Source organism: Homo sapiens, chromosome 7 (assembly GCF_000001405.40).
Source record: "Homo sapiens chromosome 7, GRCh38.p14 Primary Assembly".
Taxonomy (NCBI): Eukaryota; Metazoa; Chordata; class Mammalia; order Primates; family Hominidae; genus Homo; species Homo sapiens.
The window spans coordinates 157,916,361-157,937,834 of NC_000007.14; the positions used below are offsets into that span (position 1 = coordinate 157,916,361).

General features: G+C 49.2%; 1 protein-coding gene across 10 annotated transcripts in view, besides 1 other annotated feature; it reads right to left on the minus strand.

Annotated features, from left to right (window-relative positions):
• The window catches only part of PTPRN2 (protein tyrosine phosphatase receptor type N2), a 1,048,768-nt gene that overhangs the window by 377,305 nt on the left and 649,989 nt on the right, over positions 1–21,474 (minus strand). The window lies entirely within an intron of this gene.
• Positions 16,203–17,402: an enhancer, noted in NCBI's record as "P300/CBP strongly-dependent group 1 enhancer chr7:157725255-157726454 (GRCh37/hg19 assembly coordinates)". NCBI's record gives its function as "activates an origin of replication core promoter dependent on BRD2, BRD4, P300/CBP, MED14 and CDK7 cofactors, with strong dependence on P300/CBP, by STARR-seq in HCT116 cells {active_cell/tissue: HCT116}" and the evidence as "EXISTENCE:reporter gene assay evidence [ECO:0000049][PMID:35650434]".

Here is a 21,474-nt window from a genome sequence, read left to right on the forward strand (position 1 = left end):
AGGGCTACTCAGTTCAAAATGGGGGCTCTGGGAAGGAGAGCCAGGTCTCTCGAGCTTGAGGTGGCTCCTCATGGACTGTGAAGGGGTGCATGTTTTAACACAACAAACTGCTCTCCTCTAATTACCTGTAATCCATAAGACAGTGTGAGGACAGTTCTGGGAGCAGGTGAGTTCGAGAAGCACCAAGACGCATCATTTGCCTGTCCTGTGTGTGGTCTAAGAGGTGCCTGGTGCTTCACTGCAGAGCACGCAGCTCCTTGCTCCAGCCACCTGCACCACAAGCACTGCTTCTGATGTCATAAGCGTGGCCTCGAGGAGATGCTTAGGAGCCCCCAGGCCAGTGCACGTCCCCTCCCCGGCTGAAGGTCCCCACCATGGCAGGGGCTGGCCACGCACCCCGGCCACTCCGGGACACGTCCAACACACGTCCCCCTCCCCAGCTGAAGGTCCCCACCATGGCAGGGGCTGGCCACGCACCCCGGCCACTCCAGGACACGTCCAACACACATCTCCCTCCCCAGCTGAAGGTCCCCACCATGGCAGGGGCTGGCCACGCACCCCGGCCACTCCGGGACACGTCCAACACACGTCCCCCTCCCCAGCTGAAGGTCCCCACCATGGCAGGGGCTGGCCACGCACCCCGGCCACTCCGGGACACGTCCAATACACGTCCCCCTCCCCAGCTGAAGGTCCCCACCATGGCAGGGGCTGGCCATGCACCCCGGCCACTCCAGGACACGTCCAACACACGTCCTCCTCCCTGGCTGAAGGTCCCCACCACGGCAGGGGCTGGCCACGCACCCCGGCCACTCCAGGACAGGCTGCCGCAGCTGGGGAGCTTCTGGTTCCCCTTCTTTGCTGTTGCAAACCGCTCTCTCTCATTTTAAAATGTCCTGTATGAAGCGAAGGCACTGAACACACTCCAGCCTGCAACGCAGAAGTGCACATTGGCGTGGAGCATTTGAAAGGCATTTTCTCCTTGGAAACTGAAAGGTCAATTTGTCAAACTCCACTCCTCAGGGTTCCAAGAAAGGTTCTTCAGCCCTTGTTTTCCAGCCATAACAGGGTAAATAAATGAGACTCTCATCTGCGGGTCTCCTGTGGATTCTGCCGGGGGGCGGGGCTTCGGTGGAAAGGGAGCATGGCTGCGCAGTAATAATAGCGGCAGGCTGGGAAAAGCTAATGTCAGCTCCAATTTCCAAGTCATTTTTCAAATTATTTTAATTAGATATTGTTTCAATCTCACTTACATTAATTTAATATCTGATATCAACATTTCAGTTTTCAATTGTTCAAATGATTTTTTTTCAGTCTGCCTGGTTGCCTGGAGTAATTTAAAATACAATGTTTATCTTCAGCAATTTTCAACGCGTGGTCCTGGACAAACTGCTATGTTCAATAAAAGTGACAAGGAAGGGACGGCCCCAGGTCCTGCGTGGCGACGAGGAAAAATGGAAATTGTCTCCTTATTGTTCATCTCTAGACATCAGAGTCAGCAGGCCGAGCTGGGGCTGGGGCTGGGATAATAAGATTTTCCACCCATTTCACGATGTAATTGGCTTTCCCAACGCAAATTTCAGTGAAATTTGACTAAGATTTTTTTGTATTAAAAGGCATCTGAATAAATGGCCACATTCCCCCATCTACACATTTTCTGAGAATTTTCAGTCACAGCCCTCAAACCTACCCCTAAAAGATTCTTCCTGGACGCACTGCCACAAATAGCCTTAGGTTCTGCGTTTTCTTAGTTTGTCCTTTTCTTCAGACATTAGCACGGATGCTGGTAAAGACGTGCCTTCTGAAATGGTAAATGTAAAGCTGAACCAGGCCTTCACCTCCCCGTTTATAAAATGTGGGAGAAATGAGGTATCCTGAAGTGTTCTTCTAAGACAAGGAAATTAGTATTGTTCTTGAAGTTGATAATGAGAAATCTGAAGATCCTTACTGCTTTTGAAAAGTGTGAAGAACTTAAAACAAATTACCTGGGAACAACATAAAACCAAACTATAACATCATCCACATGGCAACAGGTAAACCATCGAAGGAACAGGAGGGAAGCTGAGGAGCTGGAAGGCGTGGGCCGGTGTGATTAACGAGAAACACACACAGTGAGGACGACGCGTGGGAGCAGGGGAAGTCATCTTCCTAGGACAGGTGCCTTCACTCGCATCAAACTACTCATTATCTACAAGCAACATATCGAAAACAACGCCGTCCAGAAAGATTACAAACTGACGCGGCCGGGAAAATCTATCAGACATACGAATGGAAGGAGAGAAGGCGTCATGGCGTCGACACCAAGAAAATGTGCAATTTGTTTAAAAGTTATTGATTAAAGTGGAATAAATAGACTAATGTTAGATTAGATTATAAAATTCCAGACAACGATATAGGGTTAATGAACTGGTGTGTGCCAAGAAATAAACATCGAAATTAATAAGGAAGAAGTGATCACAGTACAAAGAGATGCCACTCGCAGCCTGAGGGACGGAAGGGCCTGACGGCGGCCATCCTCCACCAGCCACGTTCCGGGGCTGCGCTTGGCACTTTAACTGCACCCGGCACTAACCCCCACAACAGCCACCTGAGGTGCGGACTTTAAATGCCCCCATCTTATTGATAAAGAGGACTGAGTTTTCCAGGGGGTTAAGCAACTTACCTAAAGTCACAGGGCTAGTAAAACACAGAGCCTTATTAGAAACAAGTCTCCCTAGCTCCCACAAGGGTCCTACAGCGGGCCCGAGAACATGACAAAGAGAATTCAATAGCGACTGATCAAGCTCTATGGTCTAGAAACCAGAATGGAACCGATCAGATATTAAGCCTCAAAAAAGGACTTCATGTTTTTTAAATCATAAAAATCATAAATGTTGCATTCTCTAAGCAAAATCTAATAAATTAGAAATTAATAAACACAGAAAACAAAACTCTCTCATCATTTGGGTATTAAAAATATTATTTTCAATAATTCTTAGGTTAAGAAGGAAATGGAAACTAAATTACAAAATAGTTAGAGAATAATAAAGGCTGTGGGAGATACCGAAATGATTCCCCGGAGGTGGGTTTCGAATACTGAGAGCTTCCATGATGATAAGAGAGAAGGACAGTAAACAAAGTAGGCACTCCATTTATGACGTCAAAGTAAATAGGTAACAAAAAACTTGAGGGAAGAAATTAAGTAATAAAAATATAAATTAAACTATAAAAGGGAATACAGGATTGGTGAATAAACCCAAGAGCTTGATTTTAGGGGAAAAAATCATAAACTCTTAGAGGTAATCAAGAAAAGTAAAACACCTCAAATTCTAAAATTATCAAAAATTAATAATTAGGAGGACACATAATCACAGATGCAGTGGAAATTTAAGACTTATAAGCCCTTAAGACCATTTATATATCTATTTATAGTCATGCACCACGTACTAACGTTTTGGTCAGTGATGAACCACATACACCCACAAGTGGTGGTCCCATAAGAGTATGACGGAGCTGACAAATTCCTGTCACCTTGCGACGTCACAGCCATCGTAAAGCCACAGTGCAAAGCATTACCTTTTCTATGTGCAAATGATACACAAATGCCTACCGCTGTGTTACACCTGCCTACAGTATTAGTATAGTAACATGTTGTGCAGGTTTGTAGCCTAGCAGCGCTGTCCCATACAACCTGGGTGTGTAGGAGGCTGTAGCATCTACAGGTTTTGTAAGTGCACCCTGTGATGCTCGCACAACGACGAAATTGCCAGATGAAACATTTATCTGAAGGCAGCCTCGTCATTAAGCAACGCATCGCTGTCTAAGAATTTGGAACTCCAAGAAATTGAACTATGAACAAAGAAAATAAAAATTACTAACCTGGCTAAGAATGAAGAAAGAAATATTAATAGATGAATATGAAAATACAAAACGTTTTTCAAAGAAACTTCCTTCCAGAAAAGCACAAGGCCCTAAGTGTGACTGGAAAGTTCTCTCAAAACTTTGAGGAATAAAAGATTCTCAAGTCAGCACCTCCCAGGAGCGCCAGCACCAAGCGCAGTTCACAGTTTACAAGGACACGCTTGGCAATCCATTGGTGGGTCTGAGGATACAGCAAAGGCTCTGAGCCTACACCAAGGCCCCCCATGTTGTCTGAACGTCCTGCCTGCTTCTTCTTTTGAACATGAAGTTCTAGCCAGCGAGGACAAATGCTGAGATGTTTGAGACTTCCCAAACCACTTGTGTTTTATCAATACATTTTATAAGCCAAAAGTTAAGAGTCAGCCGCACAAACAGAGCTGCCCAATCCTTGGCAAAGCAGCAAGGGAACTCAATGGGGAAGGGACCAGCTTTTCAGCAGATGGTGCTGGACCAATGGGATACTCACATGCAAAAAGTGAATCCAGACATCAACCCTATACCCTCCACAGAAATTAATGCAAAGTTAGATGTAAAATGCCAAACTATACAACTTCTAGAAGATACAAAGAAAATCTAGGTGACCTTGGGTTTGGTGATGACTTTTTAGAGATACAACACCAAAAGCACAGTTCATGAAAAAAACAACTGATAGGCAGGACTTCATGAAAATTAAAAACTGAATATATTATTAGTATATGACCCAGCAGTCATGCCCTTTGGTATTTGCTAAATAGAGTTGAAAACTTATGTCCATACAAAAATATGCACATGGATGTTTATTGCAGCTTAGTTCATAATTGCCCAAACTTGGAAGCAACCATGATGTCCTTCAGTAGATGAATGGATCAACCGTGGTGTATCCATATAATAGGATATCATTCAGGGCTAAAACGGAATGAGCCGTCAAACCATGACACAGGGCTTGCAGGAACCTTAAATGCCTCTTGCTAAGTGAAAGAAGCCATCCTGGAAAGGCTACACACTGCATGATTCCAACGCTAAGACGTTCTGGAAAAGAACAAAGGATGGAGACAGTGTAAGTTGTGGTGGAGGTAATGAGGAGTTGGGGGAAGAGAGAGGTACCAGCAGAGCACAGAGGCTTTCATGACAGGGAAACCACTCTGTTTGATGCTATGATGATGGATACGTGTCATCATACACTTGCCCAAACCCACAGAATGTACCATCCTGCTGTGGCTCAAATATGGTTTATACCATCTGAAACTCATGCTGAAATTTGATTACCATTGTGGCAGTGTTGGAGGTGGGGCCTTTAAGAGGTGATTAGGTCATTAAGAGGGACTGATGGTTTCTTGCAGGAGTGTGATAATTCTTGTGGGAGTGGGCTGCCGCAGGCAGGGAGGGCTGCTGTAAGGCGAGCCCAGCCCCTCATGCTTGTCGTCTCATTATACATGCTCATTGGCCCTTCTTCCAGGGCATGGCGCAGTAAGAAAGCCCTTGTCAGAGCTGCTGCCATGCCCTCGGACTTCCCAGCCTCCACAACTGTGAGCTAAATAAACTTCTTTTCTTATAAACTACCCTGTCTCAGGAATTTTATTATAGCAACAAAAATCCACCTAAGAGAACAGCAGGAGTGAACCCTGATGTAAACCATGGAATGAATGTGGGCTCATCAACTGTGACAAACAGACCATCCTAATACAGATGGGAGCAATGGAGAGACGGGGCGTGGAGTGGAAGGCAGGGCACGTGGGAACCCTCTGGACTGTCTGCTCTATTTTTCTGTAAATGTAAAACTGCACTAAACATAAAATCTACTAAACACAAGTCACAAACAAAGGTTAAAAGTTGCTTGTTTTTATTTGAAGTGCAGATGTCCCTGGTTAGATGTTCAAATACCTTAAAAACTGTAGGTAAAGGGCATTCTCCATGTGTACAAAGATTATTACTGCAGTGAAACTTTCAGGAGAATTTTGAAGAGAGATGATTATTTTCTGACTCTACTGACCAGGATTCTGTTCAACATCTTCATACGGGATTTTTGGTTTTTAAATACTGGGTGACGGGGCCAAGGAGTGGTGACTTGCAGAAGGAAGTCTTTCCTGGGCGATGGGGCCAGCACTGCATCCTGACTTGGAACAGAGTGCGTGGAAAGGGAAATGGGGGTCTGGGTCTCAGTCCTGCAGTCCTGCAGTCCTACAGTGGGTGAGACCACACCTGCGGCAAAGCTGGAATTGCACTGAAATTGGAATTGAATTGAAAATTATGCAGAATTGGAATTGCATTGAAAATTATGGATGGAAAACAAGAGCAAACTTACCACTGCTAAGTGCTGATTTAAACAAGATAAATGTTCTCTTTAGTTGGACACAAACTAGCAAGAATGACTTTGTTCCCATGGGTTTCTCAATATAAGCTCCTTTTGCTGGGAAGGAAAAAGGGCATCTGCAGTAAGGTTGGTTCTTTTCCTTCCACATCACCAGCGGCAATCGTCTTTATTATTCATTAGCAAGCTCGATGTCACGGCACGCTGCGGCACCGCTGAAACCAGCCTGAGTTGGGAAAATACTTTCAATATTTCAACTGACTGCTTTCTAAGTCACAAATAACACAGCTAATCCTGAGGTCACTCGCTTACAAAAACCTATTTGCTGTGCTTCAGAGCAAAATGAAAATATATATTACAAATGATGCCACCAGTGGCAAGCCTGCTCTGGGACCAGCCATCCTTCCACTGTCTCCTACCACTGGCAGCTAAAAACATCCCTCCTTCTCCTTAAAGCCATTTTAATAAAGACCCCAGAGGCTGTTTACTCAGGTGAACACATTTATTTGTAACCAGTGTTTAATGTAAAATTTAGCCTAGGCTGTGTGTGTCAATAAAGGTCTATAAATAAAACATCACTCTGGGTTTTTTATCTTTATCCCAACACCCTACACTGCATGCTTTTAGAGACGCCGTTCCACTGGGCCTTTTTATTCTTAACCCTGACCTATAAAAATCACTTAAGTCACCAGAAGCTTTTCCTATGAGCCAGTCAGTGCAGGTGAGGTGGGAGCAGCTAGCCATAAGTTATGATGCTTGTGACTGAGAAAACAACAGGTGGGTGTGTTCTGGCAGGGCAAGAAGGCAGCCAGCCCCCTGGGACCATCCAACCATGCTCCACCTGCCTGAGCCTCGGGAAACGCCACCTGCGCGCTGGCCTGTGGAGGGGAGCTCTTTCCCCTCGCGAGGCAGAGCACATGTCACTACATCACATTGAGTTGGAAAAATCCAAAGAACATCATCCCCGTCTTTCCACCTGTGTCAGTTCCTTCAAAGACAGGCCCGAGACCTCCTTTGGAAGACTTTGCTCAAATTATTTGGGGGCAAACGTCCAAATGTCAGACCATTGATGGCTTCCATCCCATTCCCTCAACTGACGGATAAAACCCCAGAAACTCAGAGAGGCTGTCACTGCTGCAAATGGTCCAGGAAGAAACTCTGATCCCAGAAACCAACAAGAGGAAATTTTCCTGAGATAAAGAGAAATCTCTGCCTTTAGATAAGAAATGTGTTTTCAGGAATCGACAGTGTTAGTGTAGGATGTTAGCGGTCACACCCGAGATGGTTCTTTTGCTAAACTCAGGGAGATTTTAGTTGAATTTGCAAAATGGTTGCTAACATATCTACCTGTTCCTGAGCAGAATTTAAAAAAGCAACCTGTCCTGAATTAGAGGAGGCTGGCTTTGGTGTGCTGTTTGGGTTGGACCGTATCTCAGCACTGTGTTCCATTCTGGATACCGCTGTTTGGGAGACCCCATGGGCACCCATAGCAGACGGCAGGGATGGGACAATGGGGGATGGCAAGGTTGTGTGTCACGCTGGGGAGCTGGAGGAGGGGGCCCGGTCCTGAGTGTTTCAGAAGGCAGGGTGGGGCCATCACATCCATGGCCTCTTCACTTGGACAGGATGAGGGGGCGCGGCCACAGGCAGGTAGAGGGGTGGCAGAGGAGGTCTATGTGGCTTCCTGGGGCTGGCTCCATTGAAGCCACACTCGTTCTCCTTTTCTCCTCCACCTGTAAGGAAACACTGTCCATTGGAACATCAGAAAGGGCGGCCCTGGGCTCAAAGCTGAGGACGCCCCCTCTGACCTGCAGCTGGCGAGGTGCACAGCCCCTGGAGGAGAACCGAGGCCACCAGCCCTGTTGCCAGAGCTCAGCTGCTCCTCCCGACACTGGTTCTGAGTCATGGAATCTCCCTACCCTGGACGCCTCCAAAGGCCCCATCCACAGGGCCCTGCTCACCACTGGCCCAGGTGCCACCCAGAGTCAGAGCTGGTTCCTGACCTCTGCCAGGGATAGCAATTCCCATTCTTGAGCTGGAAAACAGGTCATGTGGAATCTACAGGATGCACGGGGAGGACACCTCGCTTTATTTCAGGTACACAGGGTAAGAAGTCCGCTGCAGGTGGATTAAAGACTTGCCGAGTCAGCCAGGAGGCCACTGCCTATGCCACTTGGCACGGTACCCTCTGCTCACCCAACTCCCATGACTGAGATGCACAGTTCTCACCAGCTTTAGGTGATGAAAACACCTCCACTGAAGCTCAAACAGGCAAATGCAGTTATTGAAATGTAGTCAGGATGCAGGCACCTGCATTTAGCACGTCAGGCAAATGCAGTTATTGAAATGTAGTCAGGATGCAGGCACCTGCATTTAGCACGTCAGGCAAATGCAGTTATTGAAATGTAGTCAGGATGCAGGCACCTGCATTTAGCACATCAGGCAAATGCAGTTATTGAAATGTAGTCAGGATGCAGGCACCTGCATTTAGCACGTCAGGCAAATGCAGTTATTGAAATGTAGTCAGGATGCAGGCACCTGCATTTAGCACGTCAAGCAAATGCAGTTATTGAAGTGTAGTCAGGATGCACCTGCATTTAGCACGTCAGGCAAATGCAGTTATTGAAATGTAGTCAGGATGCAGGCACCTGCATTTAGCACGTCAGGCAAATGCAGTTATTGAAATGTAGTCAGGATGCAGGCACCTGCATTTAGCACGTCAGGCAAATGCAGTTATTGAAATGTAGTCAGGATGCAGGCACCTGCGTTTAGCACGTCAGGCAAATGCAGTTATTGATATGTAGTCAGGATGCAGGCACCTGCATTTAGCACGTTGCTTTAGTAGGTTAAATCCCCTCCAGAATCTTCCAGAATCCCCAAAATCTAAATGCCCACATTTGCTACGTCCAAATCACGGCTGTCACAATAGCCCTTCATGGGTTCACCTTCCTCGTGGTCCCGGGTCCCAACCTGGCCTGGCCCCTCTCCCTCCAGCTTCCTTTGGCTGCAGGCAAACACTGCCTGTTCTGAGGTGGTCAGCAGTGGACTCGGTCAGGCCACGTGGAAACCGCATGGGGCCACAGAGTGATGGGCCTCAGATGGGCAGCACACCCAGGAGCCGCTGGGGACCCTGTTAAAATGCAGACCCTGATGCAGAAGGTCCAGCTGTTCAAGCCAGCTTGCAGGTGAACCCAGAGCTGTGGGTCAGGGTCAGTCCTAGAGACGCGTCACAGAGAAACGACGCTGAATCACCAGCCACCGAGACAATCAGGAACCAGTGACGTGATGGTAAACAGAGGAAAACACGGGCCACTCTTCAAAGCGCGGTGCCTCAGAAAACACTTCCACAGACACCTCTTCTTCTGTGTCGTTCTAAAACCCTTCTCCCAGAGATAAGGAAACTAGTTCCCTGCAAAATATATTTTATGGTTTTGTTATCATTTTCAGTATTTGCACTGTAATTATGGAAAATTAGTTTAGACTTTATTAAGCTTTTGAGTCTACATGTGAGGCGAATGGATGAATTTAATTTTTATCCATGCATTACCTCCCTCTGTCTATCTACCACTAAACCACAGCCACAGGAAGCTGAGGGTCCACGCGTTACCTCCCTCTATCTGTCCACTGATAAACCACAGCCACAGGAAGCTGAGGGTCCATGCATTACCTCCCTCTATCTATCTACCACTAAACCAGAGCCACAGTATGCTGAGGGTCCACGCATTACATCCTTCCATCTATCCACCACTAAACCACAGCCACAGTACACTGAGGGTCCATGCGTCACGTCCCTCTGTCTGTCCACCACTAAACCACAGCCACAGGAAGCTGAGGATGAAAATCCCCTTTCTCAGAGCATCTACTATGTGCCAGTTCTGTATTAGAAGTTTCAAATGCATCTCATCAAATTCTGAGTCCATGTGAGATAATAATTGCCAAATTAAAAACAATTTAAAGAGCAAGAAGGGATTCTGGAGATCATCTAATTTATTTTAATATTACCTAAATGAGAAGTGGAGGCAGGGAGGGCCTTGCCCACAGCTGTGTGTTCCTGAGTAACTGGGCGGGACTCCCTGCATCCCAGGCCTCCTACGCACCCTCCAGTGCCCCTTCCTCTAAACACTCTGTAGCTGCATTCACTCACAAACACCCACAGACCCTGTAAAATGCTGCTCCTTTGCTTCCTGCTTAGACCTGAGAAGTAGCCTCTCTCCCTGCAGCCCTGGAGATCCTTCACCCTGATCTTGCTGGACACTCCATGGCCCCCACTGCTGTTGGGTAAGAGTCGCCTCCCCCTGCATCTGGACGTGTGGCTGCAGGGATCCTGACACCGGCTCACTGTCTGCAAGCAAAGCCCTGAAGACAGGAAGCCCCAGGGACCCGTCTGAGAGCAGAGACCTCACGTCTGCTGGGGCCCTGAACACAGGAAGCCCCAGGGACCCGTCTGAGAGCAGAGGCCTCGCGTCTTCTGGGACCCCAAAGACAGGAAGCCCCAGGGACCCGTCTGAGAGCAGAGGCCTCGCATCTTCTGGGACCCCGAAGACAGGAAGCCCCAGGGACCCGTCTGAGAACAGAGGCCTCGCATCTTCTGGGACCCCGAAGACAGGAAGCCCCAGGGACCCGTCTGAGAGCAGAGGCCTCGCGTCTTCTGGGACCCCAAAGACAGGAAGCCCCAGGGACCCGTCTGAGAGCAGAGGCCTCGCGTCTTCTGGGACCCCAAAGATAGGAAGCCCCAGGGACCCGTCTGAGAGCAGAGACCTCATGTCTTCTGGGACCCCAAGACAGGAAGCCCCAGGGACCCGTCTGAGAGCAGAGACCTCACGTGTGCTGGGACCCTGAAGACAGGAAGCCCCAGGGACCCGTCTGAGAGCAGAGGCCTCACATCTTCTGGGACCCCAAGACAGGAAGCCCCAGGGACCCTTCTGAGAACAGAGACCTCACATCTGCTGGGACCCCGAAGACAGGAAGCCCCAGGGACCCGTCTGACAGCAGAGGCCTCACGTCTTCTGGGACCCCAAGACAGGAAGCCCCAGGGACCCGTCTGAGAGCAGAGACCTCATGTCTGCTGGGACCCCGAAGACAGGAAGCCCCAGGGACCCGTCTGAGAGCAGAGGCCTCATGTCTGCTGGGATCACTCAGTGCACACGGGCATGTGTGGTGTGTGGGAAGCAGGAGGGAAGCGAGGTTTTATTAAAGCACAGGTGCTTTACCTCCAAGCAGGAGTCAGCATTTTCCATGGAGTTCTGCTGTGAACCCTCTGGGGTTTGTGACCAGGTCAGGCTGAGCAGACTGGGATGTTTACGAGTTCTTACGCACACCCTTCACAGCTGAGGGTCTACAATTCACGCTTGTGGGCAATTCATGAAGAAGAGAGGTGCACATCACTACCTCCATTTTGCAAACTAGGGCTGGGGTCAGGAGAGCTGCCCGACGCTTAGAGGGACTGTGGAGCTCTGTGGGCAATGGACACGTGACAGGTGGCATTTATAGAGCACTTACTGGGAACATGACAGGTGGCATTTATAGAGCACTTACTGGGAACATGCACTGTTGCAGCACTTTATGTGAATTCACACGTTTAACTCTCACCACAATCCAGAAGGAAGGTGCAGATGAGGACTCTGAGGCCCACCCAAGACCGTAAAACCAGGGCAGGGCCATAGGCAGATACAGGACCCGACCCAGAGCCCACACTCAGCCATGCTGCCCCCGGGACTAACTGCCTGGCTTGGGTGGTCCTTAGTAGAGCGGGCGGCATCAGGCCTCTCTGCTCTTGGTCGCCTGGAGATCCCACAGCCAGCAGGATGCACCCAGCCTCCCTGAGAAAGATAGAACTGGTCTGGTTCCTTTCCCTGGGTTTAGGGGGCTGGGGCCAAAGAGAAAAATGGTAGGCCCTGAACACTCTTCTTGTGATGGTGGGATGGACCTGCTATTCAGGAAAGCCTCAACTGGCTCCCCCAGGTCCACTGTACCCAAAGGAACTGGCTGCCTGAACACATTTGGTAAAAGAGATTGCGAAGCCACCCAGGACACTCCCCGTGTCTCAGCGTCACTACCAGGCTCTCACAAGCTGATCAATCTGAGACCACCTGAGTTTGAAGCACCAGGGCTGGGAGTGCAAGTTCCGACTATGAAGAGAGGGCAGCACAGAGGGCGGGATAGGGGTGGGGTGGGGAGGGGGGCAGAGGGTGGAAGATGAGAGGGTGGGAGATAGGGATGGGAGAGAGAGCGGGGCAGATGGCAGGGCACAGGGATAGAGGGCAGGAGAAAGGGCAGGGCAGAGGGTGGGAGAGAGGGCAGTGCAGAGGATAGGATGGGGGGGTGGGACAGGGGGCAGGAGGGAGGGCAGCACAGAAGGCCAGGCAGAGGGCTGGGACAGAAGGCAGCACACAAGGCAGGACAGGCTGCAGATGATGCTCAGAATGCAGCCACCCCACGTCCAGAACGTCAGGGCAGGAGGGGACATGGAGATGGTTTAACCTCACATGCCCACTTTAGAGGCAGGAGAGTGGGGTCCCGGGGTGCCAGGTGTCTTGCTGAAGGTTGTGAAATAAGGATCAGTGAAACGGTGAGACCATTCCTTCCACCCTTGTGTTTCCCTGGCATATGTGTCAGCCAGCTGGTCAACACATGCTGCGTTAGCAAATGCTGAAGGCAGGGTCGTCCCTGGCATGACCCCCTCCCCATAACCCACAGCCCCTCTTCCCCAGTACGCCGTGGCAGCCTGCCATCCGCTCTCTGCTCCTCTGACTACCTTCAGCAACCCTGCCTTACGGTGGGGATGCTGGACAGGCATTCAGGAGACACAAATGTCAACTCCTCTGTGGGTTCCTGCAGCACCGGGAGACCCTGGCGCGACTCCTGAGGGCTTCAGTCCTCGGTTTGTTCCTTTTAGGAGGAAGCCACCGGATCGTTTCCCATGCTTAAGCTCAGACGCCCACCCAGCACAGCCTCCGCCGCAGCCTGGCAGCCCAACAGAGGCTGGTCATAGTTTTTGCCCTGGAATTCCCCTCCTTTTACCACATTTGCCACCTCTGGTCCCATCTTCCTTTCAGGGTCCAGGCAGTCTTCCCCCTCATTAAATCAAATTTATTCCCAATCCTCTGATCTCCATTCACCAGCCTCCTCTGTCTCTACTGTAAGACTTCCCTGTCCCTCGGGTGGGGGCGGCATCCTCACAGGGGTGAGGAGCTCTGTGCTGCTGTTGAGATGAATGGTGCCAGAAGGGAGTCTTTCCAAGTGCCCTGTAATGCAGAACCTTTCCCAGTGCCCACTGGTGGTGTTCCCGGGACACCAGGCACTGGAGGTCGGCACGCTTATTGTAATGAATCTGAAGGCAGCCCCCACCAACGCGCTGGCTGCCTTGGGGCCAGGCATGAAGCGAATTCAGTCCACATCAGCGGGTCCAAGCCTGGACCTAGACACCCGTCCCAGCTCAGACGCTCAGCTCTGGGCCATCACCCGTCGCTCAGCCTGGGTGACGCAGACTGTAATAATCATGCCATCGTGCACACTGTTTTTCGGAGCCTGTTGAATCACATCACAAATGCAATTTATAGTTTGCCTCAAGATGTTTTCCGGAACCTTCCTGCAGAGATAGCACGAGGCCCACAGAGGGGTGTCTTGGGGCACCTGGCAGGTTCCAGGGTGGGAGCTATAAACTAGAAGTCCCACGCTTCTCCTCCCCCAGGTTCACTTGACCACAATTCTAAAATATTAATAGCATACAGCGTGTTAAGTGATGGCAATGAAAGTCTGGTTCACTCTTATTTTATCACAAACGTTGCATAATAAAACATTCCTGGTGCCCCTCGTGATTCGCAGCCTCCTGAGAGGGGGTCTCTGTTCAGGGTCTCTCAGCTGCTGCTTTTAGCTCCTTTGTGGGGTGCAATCATTTCCCAGGATGCTGGAGTCAGGTTTCTGCACTGGCACCAGCTGAAGTGTTTTCCATTTCCTGTGTGAAGCTCAGGGGGTTGTAAGCACACACACGTGACCGTCGTGAGCACCATCAGCCCTGCCTGGAGCACCGGAGGGTGCCAAGGGGGGCTTTCTTTTCTTTGCTTCTCCTGCTGCCCCTGGCCCTGAGGTGGTGCCTGAAATCCCTGCCAATACCATCCCTGTTCCTGAGAGCCTCCTTGGGCAAAGCTGGGTCTGGGGCAGGTAAGCGGGCAGCTTCCTGGGGCACCAGCCCCACAGGTGAGCCAACATGGGAGTGGGCGTGCCACACTTCCCAGGCTGCTCACAGGCACTGCTGCTTGGGGATGAAATGTATATTTTTATGGAAATGTTAAAAATTATTTTTGGCTGCCTAAATTATGTATATTGCCTTCCCTACATTTTGATAATTTTTTTTCGTTTTTTTTTGTTTTTCGCAAGAGGCAGAACCAGCTTCCCGCTGTAGCAGCTAAGAGGCTGCACTGAAGGGCAGCCCTCTCCCCTGTCTCACCTCCAGTGCACAGGCCTCCTGTGGATCAGAGGCTCCCACAGACTCTGAGTCAAGAACTCCTTCTGCCGCTGCAGGAGCTGCAGCCAGACGAGGTTTCTAGAAGCCATGGCTCCAGCACTGCAGCATGAGCTGCGGTGCCTGGCATTGTGCAGAAGGGCACCCACGCACGGATAGGGTGGCTGGCATCTCCCAGGCTGCTCTGAGCTGGTTCCCTGGCTGTCCCAGCAATTCCACGAGTTAACTAATACATTTTCATAAGCACATTTGCTGCCTAGGCCAGGTTTCTGTCGCTTGCTAATAAGAATTAATTGTGACTCATGCAGGATTCTTGGGGTAGGGGTGAGGGCCCCAGTGGGCACTGCTGCTTCCAGGCAGGTCCAGTGAGGAGGCGTTTGGCCCGGGAAAGGGCAGGCCCAATCAGGCCTGAGCAGAGCCGTCAGCACAACAGAGGCACGGAACCCAGTCTACTTCCGATCACACGCTGAGTAGGCACTGAAAGAAAAGTGACTGAAATGTGAGCTCAATTCTTAATCTAACCCTGTTCTCAGGAGGCACATGCCTTCGTGTGGGGCTAGAGCATTAACTCTAAAACTGTTTCACAAGCCTCTGGGGGCTTCAGAGGCATCTCAGTGAGTCACAAATGCATCAGAAAAATGCAGGTAAGCTCTGGCTCTTACATGACGAGGGGACATTTTCAGTGAGTTACCGAGACAGTTAGAGGTGTAGCTTTGGTAAGCTAAATTGAATAAATGACTAGAGCTTAGCATAGACTGCGGTCTGGGCTTCAGTAGGAATTACGGCTGCCGTGCAGGGCGGGGCAACATGGCAGAGCTTCTCCTGAGCATGAGCATGTGCACAAAATTGGGATTCTACCACCGCCAGGAGAAATTATTTTAGGTTGGTCATGGCTTTCTATTGTTACTCTAAGTTGCTTCCCCTCCCCCCTTTAAAAATATGTTATTTTAACATACGTCAGATTTATAGAAAAGTTGTAAGACTATCATACAAGAATCTCAGACACTCGTCACCCGATTCTCCAAATGGTAACATTTTAGGCTTTACTCTCACCTGCAAAATCTCTCTCTATATTTATATTTACACTGATATTTGTGCTTTATTATTCTGAACTATTTGAGAGAAACTTATGGACATGATTTTCCCTTAGTTCTAAATACTTCAGTGCTTATTTCCTAAAAACAAAGGCATTCTCCTACATAATGAGAGTACAGTTATGAAAACCAAAAATTCACACTGATATGGTACTAATATCTAATCAACAGAACTTACACGATTTGTCTACTTCTCCCAAGAACATTTCTAGAACAAAATAAATGCCCACATGAGGCCCTGCATACCGACGTCATGTCTCTCTAGCCTCCTTCAATTTAGAAAATCCTTCAGTTCAGTCTTTCTTGGTCTTTGTGATAGTGACAACTTTAGAATGGGGTGAGTCACTTTGATTGACAGTTTCAGATTAGAGGTGACTTACTTTGACATTTTTAGAGTAGGGGTGACTCACTTGAATTGACAGTTTTAGAGGAGGGGTGAGTCAGTCTGATTGACAGTTTTAGAGTAGGGGTGAGTCACTTGGACATTTTTAGAGTAGGGTGAGTCACTCTGACAGTTTTACAGTAGGGTTGGGTCATTCTGACAGTTTGAGAGTGGGGTGAGTCACTCTGATTGACATCTTTAGAGGAGGAGTGTCATTCTGATTGACAGTTTAAGAGGAGGGGTGAGTCACTCGGACAGTTTTAGAGGAGGGGTGAGTCACTCACAGTTTTAGAAGAGGGATGAGTCACTCCGATGGACAGCTTTAGAGAAGTGACTCACTTTGACTGACATTTATAGAGTAAGGGTGAGTCATTCTGATTGACAGTTTTAGAGGAGGGGTGAATCACTCCGATTGACAGTTTTAGAGAAGGGGTGAGTCGCTCTGATTGACAGTTTTAGAGGAGGGGTGAGTCACTCATTGACAGTTTTAGAGGAGGGGTGAGTCACTCTGACTGACAGTTTTAGAGGAGGGGTGAGTCATCCTGATTGACAGTTTTAGTGGCGGGGTGAGTCAGTCTGACTGGCATTTTTAGAGGAGGGATGAGTCACTCTGACTGACAGTTTTAGAGGAGGGGTGAGTCACTCATTGACAGTTTTAGAGGAGGGGTGAGTCACTCTGATTGACAGTTTTAGAGGAAGGGTGAGTCACTCTGATTGACAGTTTTAGAGGAAGGGTGAGTCACTCTGATTGACAGTTTTAGAGGAGGGGTGAGTCACTCATTGACAGTTTTAGAGGAGGGGTGAGTCACTCTGATTGACAGTTTTAGAGGAAGGGTGAGTCATTCTGATTGACAGTTTTAGAGGAGGGGTGAGTCACTCTGATTGACAGCTTTAGAGGAAGGGTGAGTCACTCTGACTGACAGTTTTAGAGGAAGGGTGAGTCACTCTGATTGACAGTTTTAGAGGAGGGGTGAGTCACTCTGATTGACAGTTTTAGAGGAGGGGTGAGTCACTCTGATTGACAGCTTTAGAGGAAGGGTGAGTCACTCTGACAGTTTTAGAGGAAGGGTGAGTCACTCTGACTGACAGTTTTAGAGGAGGGGTGAGTCACTCTGATTGACAGTTTTAGTGGAGGGATGAGTCACCCTGATTGACAGTTTTAGAGGAGGGGTGAGTCACTCTGATTGACACTTTTAGAGGAGGGGTGAGTCACTCTGATTGACAGTTTTAGTGGAGGGATGAGTCACCCTGATTGACAGTTTTAGAGGAGGGGTGAGTCACTCTGATTGACAGTTTTAGAGGAGGGGTGAGTCACTCTGATTGACAGCTTTAGAGGAAGGGTGAGTCACTCTGATTGACAGTTTTAGAGGAAGGATGAGTCACTCTGATTGACAGTTTTAGTGGAGGGATGAGTCACCCTGATTGACAGTTTTAGAGGAGGGGTGAGTCACTCTAAATGACATTTTTAGAGCAGGGGTGAGTCACTGATTTGCATTTTTAAAGTAGGGGTGAGTCACTTTGCACCATGCTCCTTGGCTGGTATACCGTGGCTGCCTCAGGAATAGACTGGGTTTTGCTCTTTGTCGAGAACACCAGGGACATCATCTTTTGTGTTCTTTGTGCATCAGCTCAAGGGCACGTGTGCGGATCCATCTTGCCGCTGGTGACGTTCACTGGTATCACTTGTTAAGCGCTGCCTGCCTGGTTTCTGCACCGTGAATGCTGTTTTCTTCTGATCCTATCTTGTGGTGAGAGCTATTCTGTGGTTCTCCAGAATATCGGCCGCTCATTTTAGCATCAATGATTCTTATCTGAATCAAGTAGTACTAAGAATTGATTTGACTTTAACATAAAGAATTTCCAATGTGAGAAGATTTCAGTATTCATGGCTACAGATGCCAAGTGTGGGCAACTTATCTTTTATGCGCCTTCAACAAAGCCATGGGAGCAGAGAGAGGGAAAGAAAATCTGAACCAGTATGAGTCAACTGGCACATCGGCTCACCTCGATAGCATTTGCACATTTGACTGGAAGCCTCTGGCTTGTAGAATTTTTTCCCACTATAGTATAGAACACTCCACTTCAATTTTTACTTGTTTAAAAGAATCACATTTGTTTAATTTCCACTCTGACCTGATCTTTGCTCTGCCACAGGGACTCTTCACTTGGCGATGATGAGCAAAGCATCCGGCCTTGGACCTCCTGCTTCCCAGAGCCTGCAGGGCTGTCTCACTTCCTCCAGAAGCTCTCAGTCTGCTGCCATTTCTTGGGTTCTTCATCCTTCCTGTGGACCTGGGTCTCCAACTGCTGTGATTTCCCATCAGTCAGAAGAGGTCCGCAGCATTTTGTACAGTGCAGGTCTAACATGGCAGATTCTCTCGGGATGGGCTGGCACGAAAGCAGGTTTCTTTCACCCTTATGCTGAAACATGTTTTTGCTGGAGATAGAACTCTGGGCTTTTGTTTTCTCCCTTGCAGAACCTTAAAGAGTTGTCAAATTGTCTCCTGGTTTCTGCTGTTTCTAGTGAAGAATGAAGTCAGTCCTCATGCATATCATTGCTCCTGGGAATGTAACGTCTCTCCTCCCAGCTGTTAAGATTTTCTATCTTTGGTATTTTAGCAATTTGACTACAAATGTGCTTATGTTAATTTTCTTTGCACTTAACTTGCTTGGGGTTCTCTGAGCTTCTTCTTTTTCACCAGGTGGAGGGTGGGTAGGGTTGCTGGTTTTGAATATTAATTCTTCTTTTTTTGTGTCCCACCTTTCTTGGCTCATCTTCTGGAACTGTCACGTGGGTCAGACCACTTGACTTTGTCCTAGAGGCCACCTGGGCTCTTTTTTGTTTCTGGCATTTTTCTCTGTCCTTCAGATGCGATCATTTCTGTGCATCTGTTCCAAGTTTGCCAATTCATTCTTCTGCAGTCTCTGATCCGCTGTAAAGCCCATGCAGTGAATTTCCCATCTTACAAGCTCTCCTTTCTAAAATCTACACGTGGTTCTTCTGCACGGCCTCCATCTTTCTGCTGAGGTTCCCACGTGTCCCCTCTTCTCCGTCTTTCCCTTTACGTTCTTGAACAGATCTGGAATTGTTGTTAAGTCCTTGTCTGGTTGATTTCAGTGTCTGTATCATTGGGACTTTCTTTTCTCTTCTTTATGGGTCCTAATGTCCTGTTTCTTAACATGTTTAGCAATTTTGGACTGCAAGATGAACATTGGCGGGTACATCACAGGAACCTGGTGACAGTCCACTCCTTGCTTTTAAAATTGGAGCTCCCTGGGAGGCATCGGCATCTGTGTCACTCCCTCAGGGGGGTCTAGCCATCCTCAGCATCTGTGTCACTCCCTCAGGGGGGTCTAGCCATCCTCAGCATCTGTGTCGCTCCCTCAGGGGGGTCTAGCCATCCTCAGCATCTGTGTCGCTCCCTCAGGGGGGTCTAGCCATCCTCAGCATCTGTGTCGCTCCCTCAGGGGTGTCTAGCCATCCTCAGCATCTGTGTCGCTCCCTCAGGGGGGGTTTAGACATCTTCAGCATCTGTGTCGCTCCCTCAGGGGGGTCTAGCCATCCTCATGGTGCAGCAACGCCATTCTGTCCTGTGTGCTTCGCAATCCGAAAGTGAACCGATCGTAGGTGTATGACTACAGCAAATGCAGACACATTCTCCCCACTTTCCCTCCCTGCCATGGTTCTCTAGTACAAGATGCTTGAATTTTTTCTCACTGAGCTTCACTGCTGCCACTGGAGGTCTGAATTGATTTTGCCTCAACTAGTTAGAGAAGACTGAGACTGACTGAGCCGAAGCTCTCTGCTTTCTTGAGGTGACGAGATGCTATCGATTATGGGCTCTGTGCCCCTGTCACGTTCACACGACATCCCAAACCAGACTCTACTGGGCTCATTCCTCCCCTCTGCCTGTGTCCCTCACTCCACCAGGCCCCGCGAGCATCCTCCCTGTAGCTCTCTGGCCACCCCACCTGTTTCTCTTCCACGGAGGCACCTCTGTCTCCTGGATTCCCACCACCTCTCCCTGTTCTCCCGAGCACCACTCAATCTCACTTCTAGTGTCTCCTCCACTCGGAAGCCAGGGTGGGGGTCTACAGTGCAGGTCGGACACCTCCCGTGTCTCCTCCACTCGGAAGCCAGGGTGGGGTTCTACAGTGCAGGTCTGACACCTCCCGTGTCTCTTCCACTCGGAAGCCAGGGTGGGGGTCTACAGTGCAGGTCTGACACCTCCCGTGTCTCCTCCACTCGGAAGCCAGGGTGGGGTTCTACAGTGCAGGTCTGAACACATGTGCAGCCCTGTGCAAAGCTCTTCAGAGGCTCCTCATGCCCTCTGGAGAATTTTCAAGTTCGCAGGGAGTGTATGAGGCCATCCTTTCGGTCATTCATGCCATTTTCCCACCTCTCCCCTGTCTTTCCGCCATGGCCAGTCATGGGAATTTTCCTAAACATAGCCTCTTTCTCATCTGTAAAAAGTATTCTTTCTGCAATATTCTGTAAAAAGTATTTTTTCTCTTGTAGAATGTCTTTCTGCCTGCCCCTCTCACCCGCATGTCAACCCCCTTCACTGGGGCAATTTCTCTTCATCTCCCAGACTTGGCCTGGGCCACCTTCTCTGGGAAGCCCTCCGGACCCCTGAACACCGTGGGTCTGACAATATCTTTATGCTCCTTCTGCATCTGGGCACCTGGAACTTGCCGTGAGCATGGCTGTGGTGGGTCCTTAGCCCGAGTGACCACGTGAACTTGCAGCTGGCACACATAGGTGAGTAAAGGTCCACACGGGGCTGGACCACCTAGAAAAACAGCTTTTGCTTATTTACCCAAAGTAAGCTGTGCTGGGGAAAGGAAGAGGAAGGTTTTGAAGGTGGATACAGAATTTCCGTCTAACTGAGCACGTGGGGACTGGAGCAATTCACTGAAGAAATGAAAGGTGCGGGAATAGGCAAGCCCTTGATGTCTGGAGCAGATCGCATCAGCTACTACTAAGCCGCTGTTGTCAGGCACAGAGAAGACACTCAGCATCGGATGAGAGAATAAAGCCGTGTGCGGTGTGGCTTCATGTCTCTCACAATAGCGCTCCCGAGTGCGGCCGCTCCACCTTTCCCACCCAGGAGAAGCCGCTTAAAAAGCCAGGCAGGGGCTCTTCAGTGCAAAGGTTCTGCCCCGGACTCTCACCAGCTGCTGAGAGCGGGTGCGGCCTCTCTGAGTTTTGGCTTGAGCCGGGGCCTGGAAAGGCCAACTGCCTGTTGGCCTAAAGAGCTAGAAAAGGATGAATGGATTCATATTTACAAAGACACCACAGAGTCTGTCTGAACAGTCCTGCGTATCTGCAATCTGCTCGTCACCCATCCCC